The following is a 21,889-nucleotide window of genomic DNA, read 5'->3' as shown; positions in this document are numbered from 1 at the left end:
GCGCCTCACCTTTGAAGTCACCTTCACACACCTTCACTCGACCTCCCTCGGGTTTTAACTATTCTGCCCGTTCAATCCCTGCTCAGAAGCATCAGGCAAAACATTCTCGAACAACCCAGTTAAAACATCTCCTCGCATAGCCAGTTCCCCCGTCACGGTGCCCTGGAAGGGCCTCCACACCCTTGCCCCTGCCGCACCTGCTGCCCGGCACTCCCTCCCGCGGGCTCTGCTCTGCATACTCCACCTGCTCCTCCCAGATGCGCGGCTCAGGGGGTGCCTCCTGCCCCCTCCCTGCTGCCAGGGACCTCCCAGCCCCTGGTGACTCTTCCCCTCTCCCCAGTCACTGCACACCCTCCCCTGTCTTCCATGAGTGTGTGAGTGCGCGAGCAAGTACACAGAGCCATGGCTTCGCTTTGTCTCCAGGTCCCACCTTGGCCAGGCACGAGGTGGGCCTAGCAAAGGCACCCAGGGGTAGCAAGTGCTTGGGGGGTCACCCTCCCCGCCTTGGCAGCTGAGTCCCTGTCCTCACCGTTCCCTGTGCCTGCACAGACACCTCATGGGAGCTGAGCCTGCCCCTCTTCTTGGGCCTCCCTCTTCCCCAGACCTGCCAGGCCCTCCTTCCCGGGTCCCTCTTCTAGTGGGGCACGGCCCACCCTAACTTACCTGCCACCCCCCTCTCCATGACCTAGGCCAGGGGTCCACAGAGTTTATCCGTAAAGGCCAGAGAGTAAATATTTTAGCCTTTGGAGCCATGTGCTCCCTGTGGCAGCCTCTCAGCTCTGCCTTTGTAGCAGGCAGCAGCCACAGACAGTACCCCCATGAATGGAGTGGCAGCATGCCAATAAAACTTTATTGACAAAAGCAGGCAGCAGCCCTGGGTTCCAATCCCAGCTCAGTCACCCATAGCTGTGAAGCCTCCAGAAAGGGATGGAGCCTCTCACATTCTTTTTTCAGATCCTAAAATGGCGATGATCACTGTACCCACCACACAGGGCTAATATGTGCATTGAATGAGACATTCTGTATCACACATAAATTGTTAATATGAATCAACTCCTTGCTTCTGTGTAAACATACTAAACTTTTTCACACCTCTGGGCCTTTGCTTATGTTCTTCCTCCTTCCTGGGATGCCCTTCCCTCACATGTCCATCTACCCAACTCCTACTCATCCTGCAAAACCCAGCTGTGACAGTCCCTCCTCTCCACGCTTCAAGCAAAGTCCTCTCCCGGCACTCTCAGTGGCTCCGGTAGCATGTGACACGTCTTTCTGTCGCGGACGATCCCACTCAGTTGAGATGATCTGCTCCGCGTCTGTCTCTCCCACCCCGCCCAGCCTGTGCCCTCGCCACTGCTTAGTCATCACTCCATCGGCAGCATCTGACATGCAGGAGAAGCTTAGAATTCATTCATTCCACAGAGCACTATTCGCGCGGGCTGTGTGTGCCAGACACCATTTCCAGAGCTGGGGTTACAGCCGGAAGCAAAACAGAGAGTCCCTGCCCTCACAGAGCCGGCAGGCCTGTCCCCTGCAGGGAAATGGCAGCTGCTGGGGATGTGAAGCAGCTGCAGGGCTGGGGAGTGCTGGAGAGGGGAGGGCAGGCTTCCTAGGCAGGACAAAAATGGCCACCTAGAGGTGGGATGTGTCAGCAGAGACCGGACAGAAGCAAGGGCATGGGCTGCGTGGGCATGGGCTGGGGCACTGCAGGCAGCAGGAACAGCAGGTGCAAAGGCCCCATGGCGGGAATGGACTTGTGCTTGGGGAACAGCAAGAAGGGCAGCGCGGCTGTAGCTTCTAGGGAGGGGAGGGTCGGGGAGGTGTGGTCACATAGGCTGAGCCCAGCTCAGTGAGGCTGGGGGACACAGAAAAAAATCCTGGGCCATGCAAGGGTCTGAGCAGGCAAGAGATGTGATGGGTTCGGCTTTCTAAGGATGGCTTTGGGGCCAGGTGGAGAAAGGACAGAGCAGTAGAGAAGTGGGGAGACTGGTCCAGAGCCAGGCACAGGGCCCAGGAGAGAGAGGAAGGTGGCTCAGGCCAGAGCAGAGATTGTGAATGGGCAGCAAGAAGGGTCCGGAGTTGTCTGTGACCTGCAGGCACTTGCTGTCTGATTGGCTGTGGAGGGTGAGAGCAGAGGCGAGGCTTGCGGCTTCAGCAACTGGATGAGGCGCCAGGGCAGAGATGGGGTGATGTTACGTGTGATGTTGGGCGAGTTACATTTGAGCAGCCTGTAGTGTGTCAGGGTGGAGCCTGCATGGGTTGGGCTGGAGGGTGAGGCTGGGGCCACAGGAGTCTGATGGCATCTGAAGCCAAGACTTGAGCAGGTCACCCTGGGGGTGTGTGTGGCCAGAGAGGAAGACACAGAGGACTGCGTTCAGAGGATGGGGAGCTGAGGAGGAGGCCACAGGAGTGGCCAGGAGCATCCAGGAAGTGAGAAAGGGGACATCTGGAGAGCCTGGCCACACCCCAGCCCGGCAGAGCACGTGCAGGAGGAGGAGGCGGCTGTGTCAGCTGAGACGAGGGCTGCTCATCAGCCGTTCCACCTCGCAGCGTGGAGGCCACAGGCACCTTGCTGGTAGCTGGTGTGAATCTGGTTTTGAGGGCTCAAGAAAGAAGAGAGCCCCAGAGAATTAAAAACAGGTGTCCAGACAAGTCCCTGTGCACAGATGTTCACAGCAGCACTATCCATAATAGCCAGAAAGCAGAAGCAGCCCAGATGCCCACCAGCAGGTGGATGGATGGACAGACTGTGGTCTGTCCAGTGAATGGAATATTATTCAGCCCTTAAAAGGAATGAGGGACTGACACAGCACACATGAGTGTGGGAAACAGGATGCTGAGTAAAAGAAGTCAGACACAAAAGGCCACACATTGTGTACTGTGTGATTCCATTTCTGTGAAATGCCCAGAATTAGCAAATCCGTAGAAACAGAAAGTAGATGAGTGGTTGCCAGGAGATGGGGGAGAAGGAGCGGGGAGTATGTCAGTCAGCCTGGACTTTCATAACAAAATGCCACAGACTGTTGCTTAAACAACAGACACTTACTTTTTCACTGTTCTGGAGGCTGGAAGTCATAGGCCGAGGTGCCATCAAATTCAGTCCCCAGTGAGGCCTCGCTCCTTGGCTTGCAGACGGCCACCTTCTTACTGTGTCCCCACATAGTCTTTCTCTGTGTGTGCTGAGAGCAAGAAGGTGCACAGGTGTTTCTTTCTCTTCTTATAAGGACTCTAATCCTAAGGATCAGGACCCCACCTTTACAACCTCATTTAACCTTAGTTATCTCCTTAAAGGTCCCATCTCCAAATACAGTCAAATTAGGCGTTGGGGCTTCAACATATGTGTGTTGCGGGCACACAGGTTAGTCCATAACATGGAGTGACTGCTTCATGGGTATGAGATTTTCTTTTTGGGTGATTTAAATGTTCTGGAACTAGATAAAAGTGCTGGTTGCACAGCATTGTGGATGTGTTAACTGCCAACAAATTGTATTTTTTTAATGATTAGTATTCAGTTTTGTAAATTTCACCTAAATTACAAAAAAAAAAAAAAAAAAGAAATAAAAAAGAGAGGTCCCAGGCATAGCAGTGAGCAGACGCCACTTTGGGAAGGAAAGTTGCTGAAATGAAGACATGGAGTCCAGAGAAGATGTCTTGGATGATTTGGGAGTTGGTGGCCCTGCCGCAGCAGCCTCATCCTTCAGCAGGGAGAGGAGGAGATGCTGGCCTGGCCAGGAGCCTGGCTGCTCATCTGCAGGGACCAGGTGCCCAGGGTAGGAATGGATGTGAGGAGACATCAGCTCATCAGGCAGCTCTGAGGACAGTGCTGGAAGGGCTGGGAGATGCGGTCCAGTTAGGGGCACACTCAGCGTTACAGGGGTGGGCATTGGGGTTGAGTCTGGGATAGTCGGGTGAGATGCAGTCCAGTTAGGGGTGTGCACAGCTTTATAGGGATGGGCTTCGGGGGTGAGTCCTGGGCATCTATTTGTGATGAGATCATGGGGACAATTGGGCGTGAGTGGGGAGGTTGCAATCTCAGGGCCTGTTGCACTAGGCAGGTGCAAGGGCAGGAGTGGAGAAGGCAAGGAACTGACAGGCCAGGAACTCACAGTCTAGGTGTTCGTTGAACCAATGTACACATCCTGCTTCAAAGAGCTCGGGGAACTCCACAGAAGGAGATTCACCTGTGCCAGCTCCTGGGGCCTCATGCTGCAAATAGCATTGATGATAAGATTGAAACACATAATAGCAGCTGGCACACAGGTCCCACTTCCTCCTCTCCAAGGCCCTTCTAAGAGCTTCACGTGCATTGACACATCCAGGCCCGACACATCTGCAATGGTAGGTATCATGACAAAGGAGAAAACCGAGGCAGGGAGAGGCGGTTTTGCTTGCCCCACATCATGAACCCCTAGGTGGTGGAGCAGGTTTGGGACTTAGACCACCTGGCTCAGGCACCTATCGGCTTTTTTTTTTTTTTTTTAGTAACACTTTGTTGAGATATCATTCTCAAACGCCAGAACTATCCCCATTTTTAAAGTACACAGTGCAGGCCAAGCACGGTGGCTCAAGCCTGTAATCCCAGCACTTTGGGAGGCTGAGGCAGGCAGATCATGAGGTCAGAAGATCGAGACCATCCTGGCTAACATGGTGAAACCCCGTCTCTACTAAAAAAAAAAATACAAAAAAAAATTAGCCGGGTGTGGTAGCGGGCACCTGTAGTCCCAGCTACTCGGGAGGCTGAAGCAGGAGAATGGCGTGAACCTGGGAGGCGGAGCTTGCAGTGAGCCGAGATCGCACCACTGCACTCCAGCCTGGGCAACAGAGTGAGACTCCATCTCAAAAAAAAAAAAAAAATGAAGAAAGTACACAGTGCAGTGGCATGAGTACATTCACAGGTATGTACAACAGCCACCTCTCTCTCGCTCACTCCAGAATACTTTTAGATCCCAAAAGGAAGCCCCGTGCCCATGAAGCAGTTACTTCCTCCCTATTTCCCCCAGCCCCCAGTCCCTGGAGCCCACCAGTCTGTTTTCTGCCTCTGTGGACATGTGTATCTGGACATGTGTAGATAGAGCCCTTGGTGTCTGGCTTCATTCACTGAGCAGGAAGTTCCTGAGACGCATCTGTGTTGCCACGTGTATCAGTATTTCTTTCTTTCTTCTTTTTTTTTTTTTAATTTTTTTTTAGATGAATTCTTGCTCTGTTACCCAGGCTGGAGTGCAGTGGTGCGATCTCGGCAACCTCTGCCTCCTGGGTCCAAGTGATTCTCCTGCCTCAGCTTCCCAAGTAGCTGGGATTACAAGCACCCGCCACCACACCCAGCTAATTTTGTACTTTTAGTAGAGACAGGGTTTTGCTATGTTGGCCAGGCTGGTCTCGAACTCCTGAGCTCAGGTGATCCACCCACCTCGGCCTCCCAAAGTGCTAGGATTACAGGCATGAGCCACCACGCCCGGCCCTTCATTCCTTCTCAGGTGCCAACACCAGTCAGTCCGTGCTGCACCATCTCCCACTGGGAGGATCATTTTCTTGAACCCCTTATGGGTATGTTTAGCTGCAGGCCTCCTTACGTGATCAGAGGGCATGCGTAGGAGAAGGTGTGAGTGTCACTGAAAGTGTTTGGAACTGGTTTTTTGTTTTTCTTTAAAGCAAACCTGAATTGGGGGTAACACAGTAATTCAAACAGCACCTTGGGCAGAAGAAAGACCACCCATGGTCAGTGTTCTGGGCGTGCGTATTTGTTTGTGCCTTGTTTGTTTCCAGGAAGATGTGTTGTTTGGGTAAGAATCCATTATCTCTGTCCATCGGACTCAAAAAGCCCAGCCCCGTTCCACTCAGAAGCTCTGGACCTGTGGCTTTCATCTGGGGCTCCTTGAAGCCCTGGGATGACTTTGCTTCCGCCCAGGACGCTTCCTGAGTCTGCGTGATGAACCAGTCCAGCTGCCAGGCTGTCTTGAGTTATATTGGCAGTAAGGGGGCTGCCTTCTACCAAGTAAACCGAGTGTGACCACTCCCAAGTCACGGTGCCTCGGATCCGGCCTCTGGCTGCAGACAAACCTCTGTCCCTTCTCACATATCCCAGAGGGATCCTCTTTGGATCCCACAAGGACCCATCTGCATCTGGGGAGGTGTGGGACACTCTCATTTGTTGGATTCCAACTGGGGAGTACTTTTCCCTGTGTTCCTAACCAAGCACTGCCCTTTGGGAGTCGGTTTAACCCCATGGCTCGGTTTCTATGGTGACAGTCAACAGGGAGCCGCCAGGGAAGCTGTAGGCTCCGCATACACCTGCCTGTTCTTGCCCTGACACTGGGTGCTTGCATATTCATTTACTCTCCTTTTCCAAAGCATTTATAGCATAGAACACTAAACACAATAAATGCCTTTGCTGAGCCCGTAAATAACTTCTGAAAAATGTCAGCCAACAAAACTCATCAGAACACCTCTCGCCTCCTTTGTCCCTTGAGGAAAATTACTTACTGCTCTGGAAGTTTTCTTTTGTTGATGTAAATGTTTGTGCACAGAAACTGAGGACAGCCCATGGCCCCCATCCAGCGTCTTGGGGGAACAGAGGCTGTGTTGCTGACCACACCATCTGAATGCTTGCGGGTAGGGCTGGGGCCCCCAACCCGGGACCTTGGGAGGTCCTCTATCCTGAGTCTTAACCCAGGGTGGTACCAATTTTTGACATGGGCCACCTCATTTTTACCGTATGCCTGCCCCATGTGGAATGCAGAGCAGGGGTAGCAGCATCCATTTACCCACAAAGAAACCACCTAGCAAGAGGAACAGTCTTAGCTTAGAGCGTAAGCTACAAAGCAATAGGGCCAGAATACCAACACCTTGCCTGGGATGCCAGCTCCTAGGATACCCCTGCTCTACCATGGTGCCTCTTACATCAGGGAACAAATTACCTACCACCTTAGTTGCCAGAAAGCCCTGGAAACTACACAAGAGTCAGTGGAGACTTGGCATCCCCGAAGGAACCCCTCAGGGAATTCTGCTGTCTCTGGAGAAAGACCCCAAATATAGCAGTTCATATGTGAAGTATTGGCCAACCTCCCACATTTTGTCTTCCAGGTTATTCTAATAGTAATACTTCCACCCCGGCTACCTTGCACTTTAAAATTCGCAATGCATTTTTACATAGTTTCCCATGTGACTCTCACAACTGCTCCGTGCCAGAGGCAAGATTTGTCATCTCCATTTTGTAGATGGTAAAACTGTTGCTAAATTATCAAGTGGCTTGCCCAGAGTCATAATGTATTAGTCAGCTGTTGCTGCATAACAAATTATCCCAAAAGTTAGTGGCTTAAAACAACCGTCATTTGTCTCATGATTCTGTAAGTCAAATTAGGGTGGGTTCTGCAGGGAGGGTCTTCTGTTCCCAGGTAGATTTCCATTTGTGTCTGTAGTGGCAGTTGGTGAGCTCTCAGCAAGTTGGCAGGGATGACCAGGGCATCTGGGTCTCATCCTTTAGTGGGCTAGCCCAGGCTTACTGACATGGCAGCTGTACAGCCTTCCAGGGGTGAGCAGAAGCACATGAGGCCTTTTGGAGTCTAGACTCAGAACTGGTCAATTGCACCACATGCTATTGGCCAGTATCACAGGACCAGACCAAGTTTAAGGTCTGGGCAGACAGGCTTTGTCTCTTGATAAGAGGAGCTGCAAAGTCATATCGCATACGGGTGTAGGTTCAGGGAGGGGAATAATTTTAGGTCTTGTTGCCATCTACCACAGCCAACCCCCACCTGCCTTCCCAAATGAGCTTACTTTCTCCCTCTCTGAAAATCTTTGATCTCCACAGACAGAGACACTTGCCCCTGCCTTTTGGCTTCCACCAGCTTTGTCCACCTCCGTTCCAGCCCTGATCCCAAGGGGGTCTAATTTATCTGCCCACCCCACCCACCCACACCAGACTCAGAACAGCTTCAGGGCAAAGACCCCACATCTCTAGCCTCCTGACCAGAGCCTGGCATGTGAGCTCCATAAGGCATTGGTGAATTAACAAAGTGCACCTTGACCAGAGGTTTCTGGTGCTCCTTTTAGTGGCCAGACCTCTGCACTTCCTGCTTTTGGTACAGACAGGCAAGAGCTCTTTATCCCCAGCTTCCAAACCCAGCCCCAGGGAGCTCAGGTCCCTCCAAGATGCTGGTGGGAGGTGAGGGGGCAGGGCCTCTGTACTCGCTGCTTCTGTGTTAGGTTCCGGGTAAGATTTCACTGAAAAAGAGGCACCCATCCCTAAAGCGGGGAAGTAGGTGTAAAAGTCCTCAATGCACTTACCAAGTACAGCTCTGAGAAACTCAGCTGAGCATGGAGAAGCTTACATGGAGGAGAGAGCTGGTGCTCCGAGTTGAGCTCTGTCCCTCCACTGCCTGTGTGTGTGAGTTCACGCATACCCTCCTGGGCATCCAGCTGCTTCGACATGTTTTTATGGACTGTCAGGCAGAGCAGTTAGAACAACACGTCTGCCTTGCTTTGTCTAGGTATTTGTGAGGAACAGAGATGATGCAGCTTAGAAGGTGGCTGTTCTTCCCCCCATGCTTCTGTACACATTTTTTCATTCATTGTACACCATCTTTCAGTTGTCTTCAGAGGTCTACCGGGTCATCCATGAAGACAGGGAATAAAATACGTAGAGTTACCGACAATGTGCTGACAAGAAGTGGGCCTTTGATAAATGACATTCTCAGTGTTGCTGTGGATAGCAGTGTTTCTGTGTTGATATGGATGCATCTTTTCTCCTCGCATCCTCTTGGGATCGTGCGGTATTGGGGTGAGGTTCATCTGAACAACACCCACTGGTCCAAGTGACTCGGTCCATAGTGAGCCTCTTTGGGCACCAGGCCCTTGCTCTGACCTCATTAGCCTCGGGCTCCAGCCAGCAGTTGCAGCTGACATGCAGCTGTCAAAGGCCCCAGGCCCTTTGGGAGGAGCGGGTCTGGGCCACCGCACCCTGGCAAGCCCTCAGCGCCATGTGCCTTCCTGTCCCAGTACCCAAGGAAATTCCTCCTGCCACGCTCAGCTTTTAAGAGTCCGCAAATGTTGAAAAATGATTCATTTTAAATATGACACAGAACCAGCTGCAAATAAGTTAAATGTTGCTGCTTTGGGGTGTTAGTGGCATTTATGAATATTGTAGGGAAACATTTACTCACTAAAATTCCACACAGTAGAAAAACATCCCTCCCTTTAGTACACTGTACGGTGCTTATTTTTGCCCATGTTATTTACGCTAAAGATAGTCTTATAATGGCCTTAGCTTAAGTGTTTTCCCCCCCAAAGAATCAAGCTTTGGAATATTCCTTTTTTAAAACATACTTTAAAAAATCTTTTCTTACCTGTGAAAGCTTATGGCACATAGTAGGCATTTAGCAAATGTTGGTTTCCTTCCTTTTAGACCGACATTTGGTTGGGACTGGTTTTAACTACCTTGAGGACTTTTCTTATCTCACCCATCTCAAATGTCTCCTCCCCTGTAGGGTGTATGGGCATCAGCTGCAAGTTGCTTCTTCTGACTAGAGTCTGCTACCTGATCACCCCGTTAGATCTTGAGAGGTTTCCCTTCCCAAACACTGAGCAGGTGACATTTCCGGAACGCAGAGTTAGCGTCTTCCTGCTGCCTCTGAGCTGGTGTTTGGACACAAGGCTGCCCAGAGAGCCTGGCTGCAGGTGTCGACACAGCTCTCCACAGGACGTGGTTGGCGGCAGTCACCTGGTCACCACAACTCTTCTAAGCCTCCCAGCTCGGGAATTCTGGACCTCTTGCATCCTCTAAATTGGATGCTGTCTGATATTTCCAAAAGGATACCATGCTTGATGAGATCAAAGGAGGAGAGGATGACTCAGAAAAGACCCAGAAGAGCTCACAGTGCTCTTAGCAGGATGCTTAGTGACATGGAGTCCTCTGACAGCAATAGTGCTTGGAGACATTTTTACACCTATGGCCACAGGCACATGCATACACACACACCCCACCACCACAACAAAACCTGCTGCACAGATGGTTCTTCCTTAACTGAGCAAAGTGTAAGAATGAACTTTGAGCCAGGCACGGTGGCTCATTTCTGTAATCCCAGCACTTTGGGAGGCTGAGGCAGGTGGATCATTTGAGGTCAGGAGATCGAGACCAGCCTGGCCAACATGGTGAAACCCTGTCTCTACTAAAAATACAAAAATTAGCTGGGAGTGGTGGTGTGCACCTGTAATCCCAGGTACTCAGGAGGATGAGGCAGGAGAATTGCTGGAACCCACAAGGCAGAGGTTGCATTGAACCAAGATCATGCCACTGCACTCCAGCCTGGGCAACAGAGTGAGACTCCATCTCAAAAAAAAAAAAAAGAATGAACTTTGGGGCCTCCAGAACACACCTCTTGAGGAGTCAGGGTTTGATGCGGGATTTTTTTTTTTAAGTGGATTTGGCAAGGTCTTGAGCTGTGAAAAGGAACTGCTCTTATTTCTGTCCCTAGAGTACTCAGAAGAGCACCTAGGAGAGTGCTGGCTCCTTGGAGCTGCTTCATTACTATTTGAGGACACCTGCTCTTGTTTCTTTCTTCAGTTTGCTTCTCCCATATTGCCTCTCTACATCCTCTTCCTCAGGTCTAGGAGAGACAGTTTCACCCATAGAGTATTTTATAGTGTTACACCAAGTAAGGCTATATGGCATGGCTCATAAGTCTAAACAGTGTGGGACTTGATTAGTCACCTGTTGCTGCATGACAATATTACCATAAAATCAGTGGCTCCAACAACATGCATTTACTCTCTCATGGTGTCTTTGGGTTAGGAGAGAGGCATGCTTTAGCTGAGCCTTCTGCAAGGCTTCACTCAGCCTGTGAGTTGGGCTGCATTCTCATCTGGAGGTTCAATGGGGAAGGGTCCACTTCCAAGCTCTCACAGGTTGTTGGCAGAAATTCAGTTCCTTGTATTTTTATCAGTAAGGGCTTCATTGCTGGCTGGGGGCTGGAGACTGCTCTCAGCAACCAGAGGCCACCTGTGTCTCCTTGCTAGATGGGGTTCCCCAAGGCAACTGCTTGCTTCATCAGGCCAGCGAGAGAGAGAGAGAGAGAGAGAGAGAGAGACAGACCCTCCAGCAAGAAAATTGCTACTATCTAATATAATCGTATAATCCTATAATCATGTGCATGAAGTCATGTATATCTTGTCCCCTTTGCTGTATTCTACTTGGAAGAAGCAAGTCTGAGACCCAACCCATGCTCATTGGGAGAGAATCACATCAGGGCCTGAAGACCAGAAGGTAGAATCCAGGGCCACCTTATGAGTTTGTCTACCACAAGGACCATGAGCATATTTCTAGCCCCACATGGGGTCTGACGGTGCTTTGTAAAAAAGTCCCATAAAGGTAAGGAGATGAGGGACCAGGCAGAAAAGTTAAAACTGAGGCTTATTCATTATTAACAGTGAGATTTTTATCTAACAAAGTAGGTTTCTTTTGAAAGCATTTGGTTATTTCAAAACCCTCTTTTTCAGGAGGCTTAGAATCTTTCTGAGCACATTATTCTCCTGCCACTTCTCATAAGTCGTAAGTCCTGCTTTTAAGCTAAGAGATTCTTTTAATAAGTCTCCAGGTTAAGTCACCAGCAGCCTTCGAGGTACACTATGTTAGGAGGTAGTGGTTTTGACCTTTATTCCTAGCTCCACCATCCTCAACCCTTTAAGAAACCATCTCTCATTTTTGCTCTGTGGTTCTCACCTCTAATAGACACATTGCACCCATTTTTTCAAACAATGATGTGCAAGGATTCCCCTTGTTATCTTTAAATGAAATTCTTATAGAATAAAATTAACAATATACGTAATTTCAAAAAACTCAAGCTAATACCTTTTATGAATCCATGCAGTCAGAAAAAACAATCGCCTATGTAGGTATTTCAAACAGAGGGGATTGAATCAGGAAATTGTTTCCAAAACTGTTGGAAAGGCTGGAGGAGCAGAAAGGGACAGGTGATGTCACCCAGAGATTGGTCACTGCAGGAAGCCTTCATGTCCCTTAGGGTTACAGGAGTAAAAAGAACCAAGAGGTATTGCTGAGAGCGTGAGGAGCATCCTATTGACATTCCTCAGTGGCCACCTGTGCCAGCCACTAAGGCCAACTTTGCACAAATGCCTCCCATCAGCAGAGCCTGACTGCTGCCCTGGCAAGAGAGTGGGAAATGCAGTGTGCATACTTAGCCCCTGAGAGCACTGAAGGGCAGGAATGGGGCTGAGTACCAAGAGACAGCACACATCCCAGCAGTGACAGTGAGGACAGAGGAGAGGATGGCATGACAAAGCGGGAAGATGATTTCCAGATCCATGCACTTGGGTGCCACTGGACGGGAAAACAAAGGATGGGATGGATGATCCTGCAGTCACCTTGAGTGCCACATGAGGTGCACTCACACCTCGACGGGCCCTGCCACCAGTGGCATCATTTGGGGGAATTGGTGAGCAGTTCTTTCAAAGCCTCAGCTAAACAAAGGACATTCTTCCCTTGATGTTGAAGTCATTGGCATTCCTGAAGAATTGTATGTATTCAAGCCGTGCTCAAAACACGCTGTGCTTCTTGCGAAAAGAGTTTAGGCTCTGAGCTCAGATGGTTAGGAAAAGACACTGCACCTGTCTAGGGTTGGGTGGGACCTTTGGAAGTCCTGCATGCAGGGTAACTGGCTGCTGACGGTCCCACATCCCAGCCCTGCCTGTGGCATGCCAGTGGTACCTCCCCAGCACTGGGACAGCACTAGCTGGCCCACGAACCTCCAGACCACACCCTGGGGGCAGAACTGCCTCAGTAAGAACGCTGCTCACAAAGTGGTGCCCTGAGCCCAGCCCCACTCACAGCTGGCCTCAGAAAGAACAGGCCTTCCCCAACAGTGGGGTGTACACACCTCCAATATTCAGTGGAGCCCAGCCCCTACAATTCCCTGTGGTGGAGCACCAGCTCCTGTACACACGGCCTGCCCCAAGATGTTGGCATCTCTGACCCCTGCATTTAATCCTGACTCATGTATTAAATCCAAATGGGCAAGAGTTCATTGAGAACCGACCTTCAGGCATGCCCATGTGAGACACTGCGGAGGAAGCCTCAGAGTGTGCCCAGGAGCGGCTGCAGTCCCTGAGGGAAACCCTCACAGCCCCACTAGGTGTGATGCGCCTGAAATGAAACTCAAGAGCTGCTTGCCTCTTTCGGGAAGGAGCAGCAGAGCGTGCCAGGGAGACCTTTGTCTCCCTAGACGTCGGTGGAGAGATGTCCAGGTGTTAACTGGAGGAAAGGGAGGGGCACAGAGAGAAGGTGCCCGGACTGCCGGTCAGTCAGGGATCTCACCTCAGGCCTGCCTGGCACACGGAAGCCCGGGCTCAGGTCACTGGGGGAATGAGGACTGGACTCCTTTGGGTTCCAGAGGGAAAGAAAGCCTTGAGATTATTTTTCCAAAGAAAAGAATTCCCAATTCCCAGTCTCTCCTCTGTTCCTCCCCAACATGTGTGTACAGATGTGTATGTGTGCATGCATGGGTGTGCATACATGTACGTGTGTGTGAAGATGTGTTTGCATGTATGTGAGCATGTGTGTATATATGTGCATGCACACGTGTGCATTGTGCATGCCGGTGTGCTACATGAATGTGTGTGTGTATGTTCACATGCGTGTTCACGTGTGTCAGCACATGTATACCGCAAGAACACACAGCTATCAGTCCCACCTGTCATTCCTGCATGTTTCTGGGTAATTAGAGACTGGTGTTGGGCCAAGAACAGCGTAAACAACTCTATCTCCAGCCCTCCCTCCTGGGGACCTCTTAGGGCCTCCCTGCCATGGGGGTGTGACGGATGAGTGGATTTCAACTGAGACACTTTCCACACACCCTCATGGGTTCTCCTCATGGCCCCCTGGGAGCTGGCACTTTCTCCATCCCCACTTTTTCACCAACGAAGGAGTCACAGGGCCAAGAATGCCAGGGACATTCCTCCAGTCCCATCACCCATGGCATCAGGGAGCAGATTGACAGGCGGGGGCTGTGGACACCAGACCCCAGGCTCATTCTCTGTAGCCTCTGGAGATGTCCCTGGATCACATCCATTTTGTGATAAACCAGTTAGACGAGGTGATGACCCCTACATCAGAAATGACCGTGGCACTTTGTACAGTACTCTACAGTTTATAAGCACGTGTGTGCAGGTAGTCGGTGTTTATGGGCATCTCCCAGGTACCAGGCCCTGGGGGTGCAGCTGTGTCCAGGGGCAACGTGGACCCTGCCCTCATGGAGCTGGTTCCAGCGGTCCGATGGTTCTGGCTCTGCCTTCCAGCAGGAGCTGTTCTGGTCTGCCTGCTTATTCTTGATGCAGAAGCTGAATCTCAGAGAGGTTGAGGAACCTGCCTGGGGTCACCCACTGGGAAGGGACCAACCCTTTTGCTTTGAAGCTCAGCCCTCACCCACTTCTGGCCTTCCTAGTCAGCCTGATGTGGGGGATTTAAGGACTTCAGGGAAGGTGGAGCCTCTGCTGTGTGCAGCTGCGAGCTCCTCATTTTCCTGGCAAGATAGGGTGTCTCCAAGGACAGGAACCTTTAAGATTCCAGCGCAGTGGGACAAGAGGATCTCGTGTGCTGCCGTGTCAAATGCTGGAGCAGGGGAGCGCGGGGCTGTTGTGGAAACCCTTGCTATTTTTACCTCCTGTCTCCGCAGCTTCTGCCTCCCACTGAAATCCCAGTGAGCAGCAGCAGCCCCCTGGGCCCCTGGCGTGCCAGGTAGGGCTATTTTTATGACCCTCCGATTTGCCCATAGATCACATCAGACCACGGGCAGAAGGAAAGGGCCACAGAAACCAGGATCCCACGTAGGTCAGGGTTCTGCACCCCTCCACCATGCTGCATGCGGGCAGGATTAGGGTTAGGTTCAGCATCTGCCAGGCCACCCATGAGAGTGAAGCCCAGCTCCATCCTCATCCCCAGCAACCCACTGGGTGCCCATGCACACAGCACCATGACGTCCATGTCCCCAGGAGTGCTGGGGCAGCAGGCATGGATAGTGGGTGGGCACAGCGCTGGGTTCTAGCCCCAAGTCCACCCTTACCTGGCTGTGTGACTTTGAGCCAGTCGCTAACCTTCTCCAGGTCCACGCTTCTCATCTTTGAACTGTTACAAAGTGTCTATTTGAACCGTCACAAAGTGTCTATTCCAACGTGGGTGGGCTAACGGGAATCAAAGGAGTGAGTTACACCCCACGCTATCTGGAACCCCAGGCAGCGTTCACTGCGCCACGGCGAGCTTGCAGGTGATGGCACCTGACGTGCTCTTCACATGGGCAGTGAACGTAAGAACAGGAACAAAGCTGATCTTCCTTGCGTGCCTACTGTATGCCAGGCACCCTTCTTTAATTCATTGTATTCTCATGACCCTGATTTCCATCTTACCGATAATTCGTGATTATCCCCAGCTGACAAATCAAGATAACTGGAAACAAGCCCAAGCTCATAGCGCCAGTGACCGGCAAAGTGGGATTCAGTCCAGGCTGCCTCCCTGCCATACACTCTGCCTCTCCAGGGGGATGAAGGACATCCATTGAGTATCCCCAACCCCTTCTAATCCGTTTTCTAACCCACTGAAAGCCTGCAGCTCAGGAAGGTGAGGGCTTCTGTCCCGGGCCATGATGGACATTCAGGCCAGCAATTCAAAAAAAAAAAAAGAGAATGAGCTCTATCAAAAAGGGAGGAGCACTCCCTCCCTGCCCTGCTGTGACATTCGCCTTCTCACGGGACGTACCGATTGGGAAGTATTTGAAAGCCGAGAAGTCCTTGCAGGTATTTGGAAGGAGGCTCAGCCCCCAGCCCTGTGCCCTGACCCTGATGCAGGGTGGACTGCTGGCCGTGACCTTGCAGATGGAATCTGCAGCATGTCCATGGATTTTTCCCCAAATCCCTCCTTGCCTCCTGATGCCCCAAGCCCCGCTAAGGACCCACTGCCCAGAGGAAGGCACAGTGCACGCCTTGGGCCAGGGCCACCTCCACCGAGGCGCAGTTCCTTCCCTCCAGCGTAGGCTCAGGGCGTCTGTGTAGCCAAAACGGGCTTGGCTGCCCGGCTGCCCCTTCACAGAAAGCAGGGCTCTGAACGGCCAAGACCGAGGAAACACCAAGCCTTGCAAAATGAGAAAGCAATTACTGGGGACGAGGACAGCTGCCGCCTCTAAGTGACACCTCCGGCCCATCCTAATAGCCGGGTTGAATCACTGCCTCTCCCTGCTAATGGCATGCGTAATTGCACTGGTTTTTCAGGCGTCCTTCACCCGTACTTATTTAGACTAGTGACTGATGCATTGCCATGGAAACTGGCACTAGGGGAAAAAAAAGTCCCTGGTACAGTGGGAAGTGGAAGGACGCGGCTCCAGTCTGGGGCTTACAACTTGTGTCAAAGAAGCGAATTTTCAGCTGATTTGGATGTTCAGTCCCCAGAAGTCAAATTTGTGAACTTCCTCATGGATGAAACATTCCCGGAGCCATCTTTCTTCTTCATCTGATTTTTTTTTTCTTTTCTTCTTCAATTCTGCCCCCAGAGGGCTGCAACTTTTTTTTTTTCCTGTTGAATTAACAGGCAGTAGTAGATGAGGCCGCCCCACGGACTCAGTCTCCGTGGAGACCCCGAGGAGCAGTGGTCCGAGTGAGATGGTCACACCCAGGTTAGAAAGGATGGCCGAGAATTCACGGTTCAAGAAGAAAGTTCATTTTGGAGGTACGCTGTGGGCTGGTGTGCGGAGCCTTTGTTCTTTACGAGAGCTGCGGGGACGGGAGGACCGTGGGACTTGGGCAGTCCTGCCGGCGCTTGGTGAGACGGGGTGGCAATGGCTTTGCACTTGGTGTGTTTTAGGGGGACTGTGTCCTGCTTGCTGGGCGCCCCGAGGCTATTGTTTCCATCACGGCTTTCGCCTGCTTCTGATTTAGAATGGAAATAAAGATATAGCCTCAGATCATTCGGGAGGAAACAGGCTTCTCAGTTGCATCCAGAATCCCAGGGATCCTGTTTATAGTCTCAAGGGTCCCTTTGAGCGGCTAGTGGGTTTTTAAGACAAATTCATACATCTCTTCCTAGTAAGCACTGTGGTTAACCTCAAAGGGAGGTCGGTTGCATGATGAGGTGCTGTGGCTACAGATGTGGCTTGTTCATTTTCTGGCGTGTTCTTTCCTAACCCGACAAACTGTATTGAAAGTCCCTGCAAGGCTGGCCTGGGGCAGCGTGCCTGCTCCCGAGTGCAGCCTGCCTTTCTCCAAAGACAGCATGGCTGGGTGGATTTCCGTTGTTGTTTTAACCAAGTGGACGGTGTGCTCCTTCCGCGTGGTAACGGTGGAGAGGGAGAAACACCCTGTGCGTTTGCAGGCTGCATAATGGTTTATATCAGCTTCTCCAGTAGCTTCTCACCAACTGCTCCCTCTTGCCCACAAAGGCCGAGGAGAGCAGGAATGGCCAGGCTGGGAGGGGTCCAGTTGGGCGGGGGGGGGGCTCCGGGACCCGGTCCAGTGAGATGTGAGGCGCCTGCCACCGAGGAGCATCCCTCCCAGATGTTGCTTTGCGGTTGAAGAGATCTATGTGAGCCATGAGCTGTCGAGACTACGGTGACCCCTGCCCAGTCTCCCCGCTGGTCTTCACCCGCCTGGCAACTCTGGGTTTTGTCAGCGACGTGTAGAATCTTTTGGGGGTGCCCCGTGTTGGTGAGTGGCAGGGAATGAGCCCTGAGCATCTGGCCCTGGCTTGCTAAGGTCACGGCCAGGGGCGGAGGGCGGGTGGTCTTTGTTAGCACCAGTGGGACCCACCTCATCCTCCCCAAGAAGGCACCCTGATGGAGATGGGTCCCCTTGACCAAGAACTTCGGTTGGCCAAGGTCCCAGCACCGAAACCCGAGCAATAAAGAAGCAGCTGTCTTCCCACACGATCAGGGCGGTTTCCTTGAGCTCAACAGGTCTTTTTTCTAGATGTCCTATTTCCGAAGCCTCAGCTGCCGGCATCCTTAAAAAAGATTATAAAGCTAAAAAGAATCCTCCCGCCCCCACCCATTCCTAGATTTAAATCCAGGCTCTGCTGCGTGCCCTTGGACATGGCCCCCTCCTGGGCCCTCTCTTGGGGGTAACAAAGCCTGGCCGGGAGCAGTGTTGAGCACCTCGTGCCAGGAGATGCTTGGGGTGTTTGCTCTGAGAATGGTGGCTCTGATTATCATCGGCCTTCTTCGAGGTGCTCTGATTGGCCGGGGAAAGAGGCCGACCACAAAGAGGGCCCTAAGACAGGATGTTCTGTGGGGTTAGGCAGCGGGTGTTGGAGGGGCAGGCATGGGGGGCAGAGCCCTAAGACAGTTTTGGGGTTAGGCAGTGGGTGTTGGAGGGGCAGGCATAGGGGGCAGGGGTACACAGAGTGAGGCCCCTCCAGACGCCCTGTCCACAGCCAGAGGCAGGCTCTGCTCCCCTCTGGGCCCAGGCCGGATTAGCTCAGCCGTGGACAAGTCTTTTGGAGTCTGGCCACAATACCCCACCCCTCCTCCCCACTGGCGACTCCAGCCCTGGGCTGCCGGGTCCAGGGGCATGTGGGTCACATTCGCCAGGCATCCTTCTGGACAGATAGAGGAGAGAGAGCCATTCTGGAAACGGAGCCTGCTTCGGCATGGACACTCCCAGCCGAGCTCATCAGCAAATGCAAATCAGGCACAGATTCATCCATTTACTCTAATTTCCATTTAAACTGTGAGTTTGGCTCGATGTATTGGTATACATGCTTCCACTGAGCTCCTGGGCTGATTTTTTTTAAAACATTCTAATTACTATAGAGTAGAAACCAACTCAGTGACAGCCAACAGCTTGATTCATTTGTCCAGCCAATTTGGGAGGGTGGTAATTGGGAAGCATCACCAGAGACTGAGTGTAGCCTCCCCTCCTACGGTGTCCCCAGCCTGGCTTGGCCCGAGAGCTGCAAGAAGGGCTAGTGTGGGCAAAAGAGAAGTCCACACTGCCCTCCCCATAGGCACTGGGTGCCCAGGGTGGGAGGCATCCACTGAGCTTACAAAGCAGGCAAAGGAGCCCAGTGGCGGGAGGGCAGCAGGGCAGAGCTGAGCATCCTCCCTTCCCGGCTGGGTGACCCTGGGCACAGCCCGTCCCATTCTCCAATGAGGGTCCTTCCTCCAAGAACCTAGGATTCCAGGTTTTTCCCACATTCCCGGATAATTCTCAAGTGTAGCATTGTAAAAAATATTATCTACAGGGCACCACTCACCTCTGAGATTTATCCTTTCAAAAATGTTATAGGTGGGGCTGGGTGTGGTGCCTCATGCCTGTAATCCCAGTGCTTTGGGAGGCTGAGGTGGGGGGATTGCTTGAGGCCAGGAGTTCAAGACCAGCCTGGGCAACATAGACCTCATCTCTACAGAAAGTAAAAAAAAAAAAAGCCAAGTGTGGTGGTGCACACCTATAGTTTCAGCTACTCGGGAGGCTGAGGCAGGAGGATTGCTTGAGCCCAGAAGTTCAAGGCTGCAGTGAGCTATGATTGCACTGCTGTACTCCAGCCTGGGCAATAGAACAAGATTCTGTCTCTTATAAGACAGAAATGCTACAGGTAAAACCAATCTTTTGCAAAAGAAAAAAAAAAGGAAGGAAGAAAAATGCCGTAGGGAGGATGTAGCCAGAGGCCATGGGGTGACCTTGACTCTCAGAGCCAGGAGGACCTGGGTTTGGATCCCAGCTCTGATGTTCAGCAGCCAGGTGACCTTGGAAATGATCAGATCACACCTGATTTTCTCCTGGGTCGAGTCCTCTCGTGGAGTCTCTGTGTGCAATACTGCAGAAATGTTAAGATATTAATGTAATCACCAGCTCCATCAGTTGCTGATTGTGTTATAGAGGAATACCATTTAACCTTCCGGTGCCTCGATTTCCACATCTGATAAGTGATTATTATAATGACAGTGCCTGTCTCATGGGGCTCTTTGTGGCTAAACAAGATAAGGCCTTGCAGTTAGGACCCTGCCTGGCTGGGAGAAACAGAAACCGTTGCCTAAACACACAGGGCTTTACTCATCTCACCCAACAGACATCAGGGGCCAGGCTGCAGGGGCCAGGTGGGCATAGCTGCGCCACGGTGATCTGGGCATGTGGCTCTTTCTCTCCTTCTCCTCCGTGTCCTCAGCATGCTCTGGGGGCAGCATAGATGTAGAGCCACTTCCACATTCCAGACAGGGAAGAAGGAAGGGCTGAAAAGCTTCAGGCTCTGGGGAGGTTTGGTTTGGGGAAAGGAAGCCCCTCCTGGCAGGCGCCTGCTCCTGTCTCATTGGCCAGGACCTAGGCACTCCTGGAGGGAGGCTGGGAGAAGCGCTGAGCTTCCTGGCCCCTGGGGTAGAGGGAGGAGCTGCTGCTTGCAAATAGCTGTTGAGTGAGCCAAAGCAGTTTGTTGGAAGGAAGAAGGCACTTAGCATGGCCACAAGGCAGTGCCCAGAGCTTGGACACTGGCACAGATCGCTGGTGTGCACCTGAGCTTCTTCACCTGTACAGCAGAGGCCAACGCTGCTAGCACTTTTCTTGTAGTGTTGCTGGGAGCATTCAGAAGAGAGTGTGTTTTACACTTAAATGGTGTGTGTGGCACACGGCAAGGCATGACGGATGGTGGAAAAGGACAGATCAAGATCACATGGTGGCAGCAATGGACACCCGGCGCTGTGACGGACACCCGGTGCTGTGACGGACACCCGGCGCTGTGACAGCTCTGCCGCCTGGAGGCATCTCCCTCCCATTCTCTTCCTCAGACTCTTGGAGGCTGACACCTCACCCTGGCTTTCCGATGATCAGTGGAACATGCAACTGAGCCACTGCCTTGCTGGACACCCTCAGCCAACCTGTGAGCCTCCCCCTCGGCTCCGTACATGAAGCCACTGCTACGTGGGCCTTGGCTGCTCCACGCCCAAGCCCTGCTGCTACGGGGGTTCTGTGAAAGCGGACACAGCTACGCTTGGCAAAAAGACTGCTTCGTAAAGTGGCAAGTCAGTACTGTAACCCGTGTTCTTCTTAAGGTGCTTCACTCATCTTGCAGTACAACCAACAATTTCCTGAGATGACTAAGAAAAACCAACTGTGCCAGGAGCAGACGGAGCCGGCTCTCTGAAGTGATTTCTGTTTATTGGAGGATGGAAACACAGCCCAGCATGCTGGCACCTGCTTCCTTGGCCCCTGGATTTGGAGTCCATAGATCTGGCCCTTGTGTGGTGTCAGAGTGCTGAGGACCCACTGGCACGTGCCCGACAGGGCTGGTGCCTCCCCTGCCCACACACAAACCCATGCCAATGTTAAGGGAATTCAAAGCACGTGATTCTTTTGGCAAACTTCCCCTGCACCTCGCTGCTGGGGTCTTACCCAGGCGTGTGACACGAGGCTGTTCTTCCCAGCATCGAGCAAAGAGGAGCAGGGCGGATGACACACGCCATACACATGTGCGCACATGGGAGGAACCACGATCTTCCAGGGAGCTGGGAACAAGTGGAACTATGGACTCGGGTGCTTGTTGGTGCTGAATTCCAGCAGATAGGCAGCTTCCACTACTGGAAACCAGTGTGATTCCAGGAAGGGGAGCGTGGCCCCCTGAGCATGTGGTGCAGACCAGGAAAAGGGCTGTTGGTGCAGAGCTGGGCGCTTTTAGCCGAGCGAGGAACCATCGTGCTGGCGGCTCAGTCTGAGTGAGGGCCACGCCCACCCATTGCAGGAGGAGTCTCCAGGAACTGGGCCCCGCCCTAGGGCTCACCATAAGTGGCAGAATCCGAATTGGAACTGAGTGTTGTTTGTATCTGGGAACAGGGAAGTGCATTTCCTGGAAGCCGCTTCTCTGCCACCCTCATAGTTTCTGTCCTGTTGAAAGTTCTGAGCTCTGTTGCTGATGGGGAGG

General features: G+C 52.2%; 1 protein-coding gene across 24 annotated transcripts in view, besides 4 other annotated features; it reads left to right on the top strand.

The window, feature by feature from the left end:
* The window catches only part of SHANK2 (SH3 and multiple ankyrin repeat domains 2), a 785,381-nt gene that overhangs the window by 518,857 nt on the left and 244,635 nt on the right, over positions 1-21,889 (top strand). The window contains exon 1 of one of the 24 annotated variants that reach the window (XM_017017390.2): positions 16,375-16,717. The exons of the other annotated variants lie outside the window; for them this stretch is intronic. Coding sequence (XP_016872879.1) covers positions 16,651-16,717 — 67 coding nt within the window. The 5' untranslated portion in view covers positions 16,375-16,650. Of the gene's footprint in view, positions 1-16,374; positions 16,718-21,889 lie in introns of those variants that run through there. 24 annotated transcript variants of the gene reach the window in all.
* Positions 14,933-15,136: a silencer, noted in NCBI's record as "fragment chr11:70565347-70565550 (GRCh37/hg19 assembly coordinates)". NCBI's record gives its function as "represses an EF-1alpha promoter that drives an FKBP-Casp9 reporter gene in an ReSE screen in HepG2 liver carcinoma cells {active_cell/tissue: HepG2}" and the evidence as "EXISTENCE:reporter gene assay evidence [ECO:0000049][PMID:32094911]".
* Positions 15,981-16,490: an enhancer, noted in NCBI's record as "H3K4me1 hESC enhancer chr11:70563993-70564502 (GRCh37/hg19 assembly coordinates)". NCBI's record gives its function as "activates a minimal SCP1, AML or CMV promoter by ChIP-STARR-seq in naive H9 embryonic stem cells {active_cell/tissue: H9 hESC(naive)}" and the evidence as "EXISTENCE:reporter gene assay evidence [ECO:0000049][PMID:30033119]".
* Positions 18,713-19,545: an enhancer, noted in NCBI's record as "H3K4me1 hESC enhancer chr11:70560938-70561770 (GRCh37/hg19 assembly coordinates)". NCBI's record gives its function as "activates a minimal SCP1, AML or CMV promoter by ChIP-STARR-seq in naive H9 embryonic stem cells {active_cell/tissue: H9 hESC(naive)}" and the evidence as "EXISTENCE:reporter gene assay evidence [ECO:0000049][PMID:30033119]".
* Positions 20,059-20,948: an enhancer, noted in NCBI's record as "H3K4me1 hESC enhancer chr11:70559535-70560424 (GRCh37/hg19 assembly coordinates)". NCBI's record gives its function as "activates a minimal SCP1, AML or CMV promoter by ChIP-STARR-seq in naive and primed H9 embryonic stem cells {active_cell/tissue: H9 hESC(naive and primed)}" and the evidence as "EXISTENCE:reporter gene assay evidence [ECO:0000049][PMID:30033119]".

This window comes from Homo sapiens, chromosome 11 (genome assembly GCF_000001405.40).
Source record: "Homo sapiens chromosome 11, GRCh38.p14 Primary Assembly".
NCBI lineage: Eukaryota > Metazoa > Chordata > Mammalia > Primates > Hominidae > Homo > Homo sapiens.
Note: the sequence above shows the minus strand (reverse complement) of the source record. Positions and strands in the feature narration are given on the sequence as shown.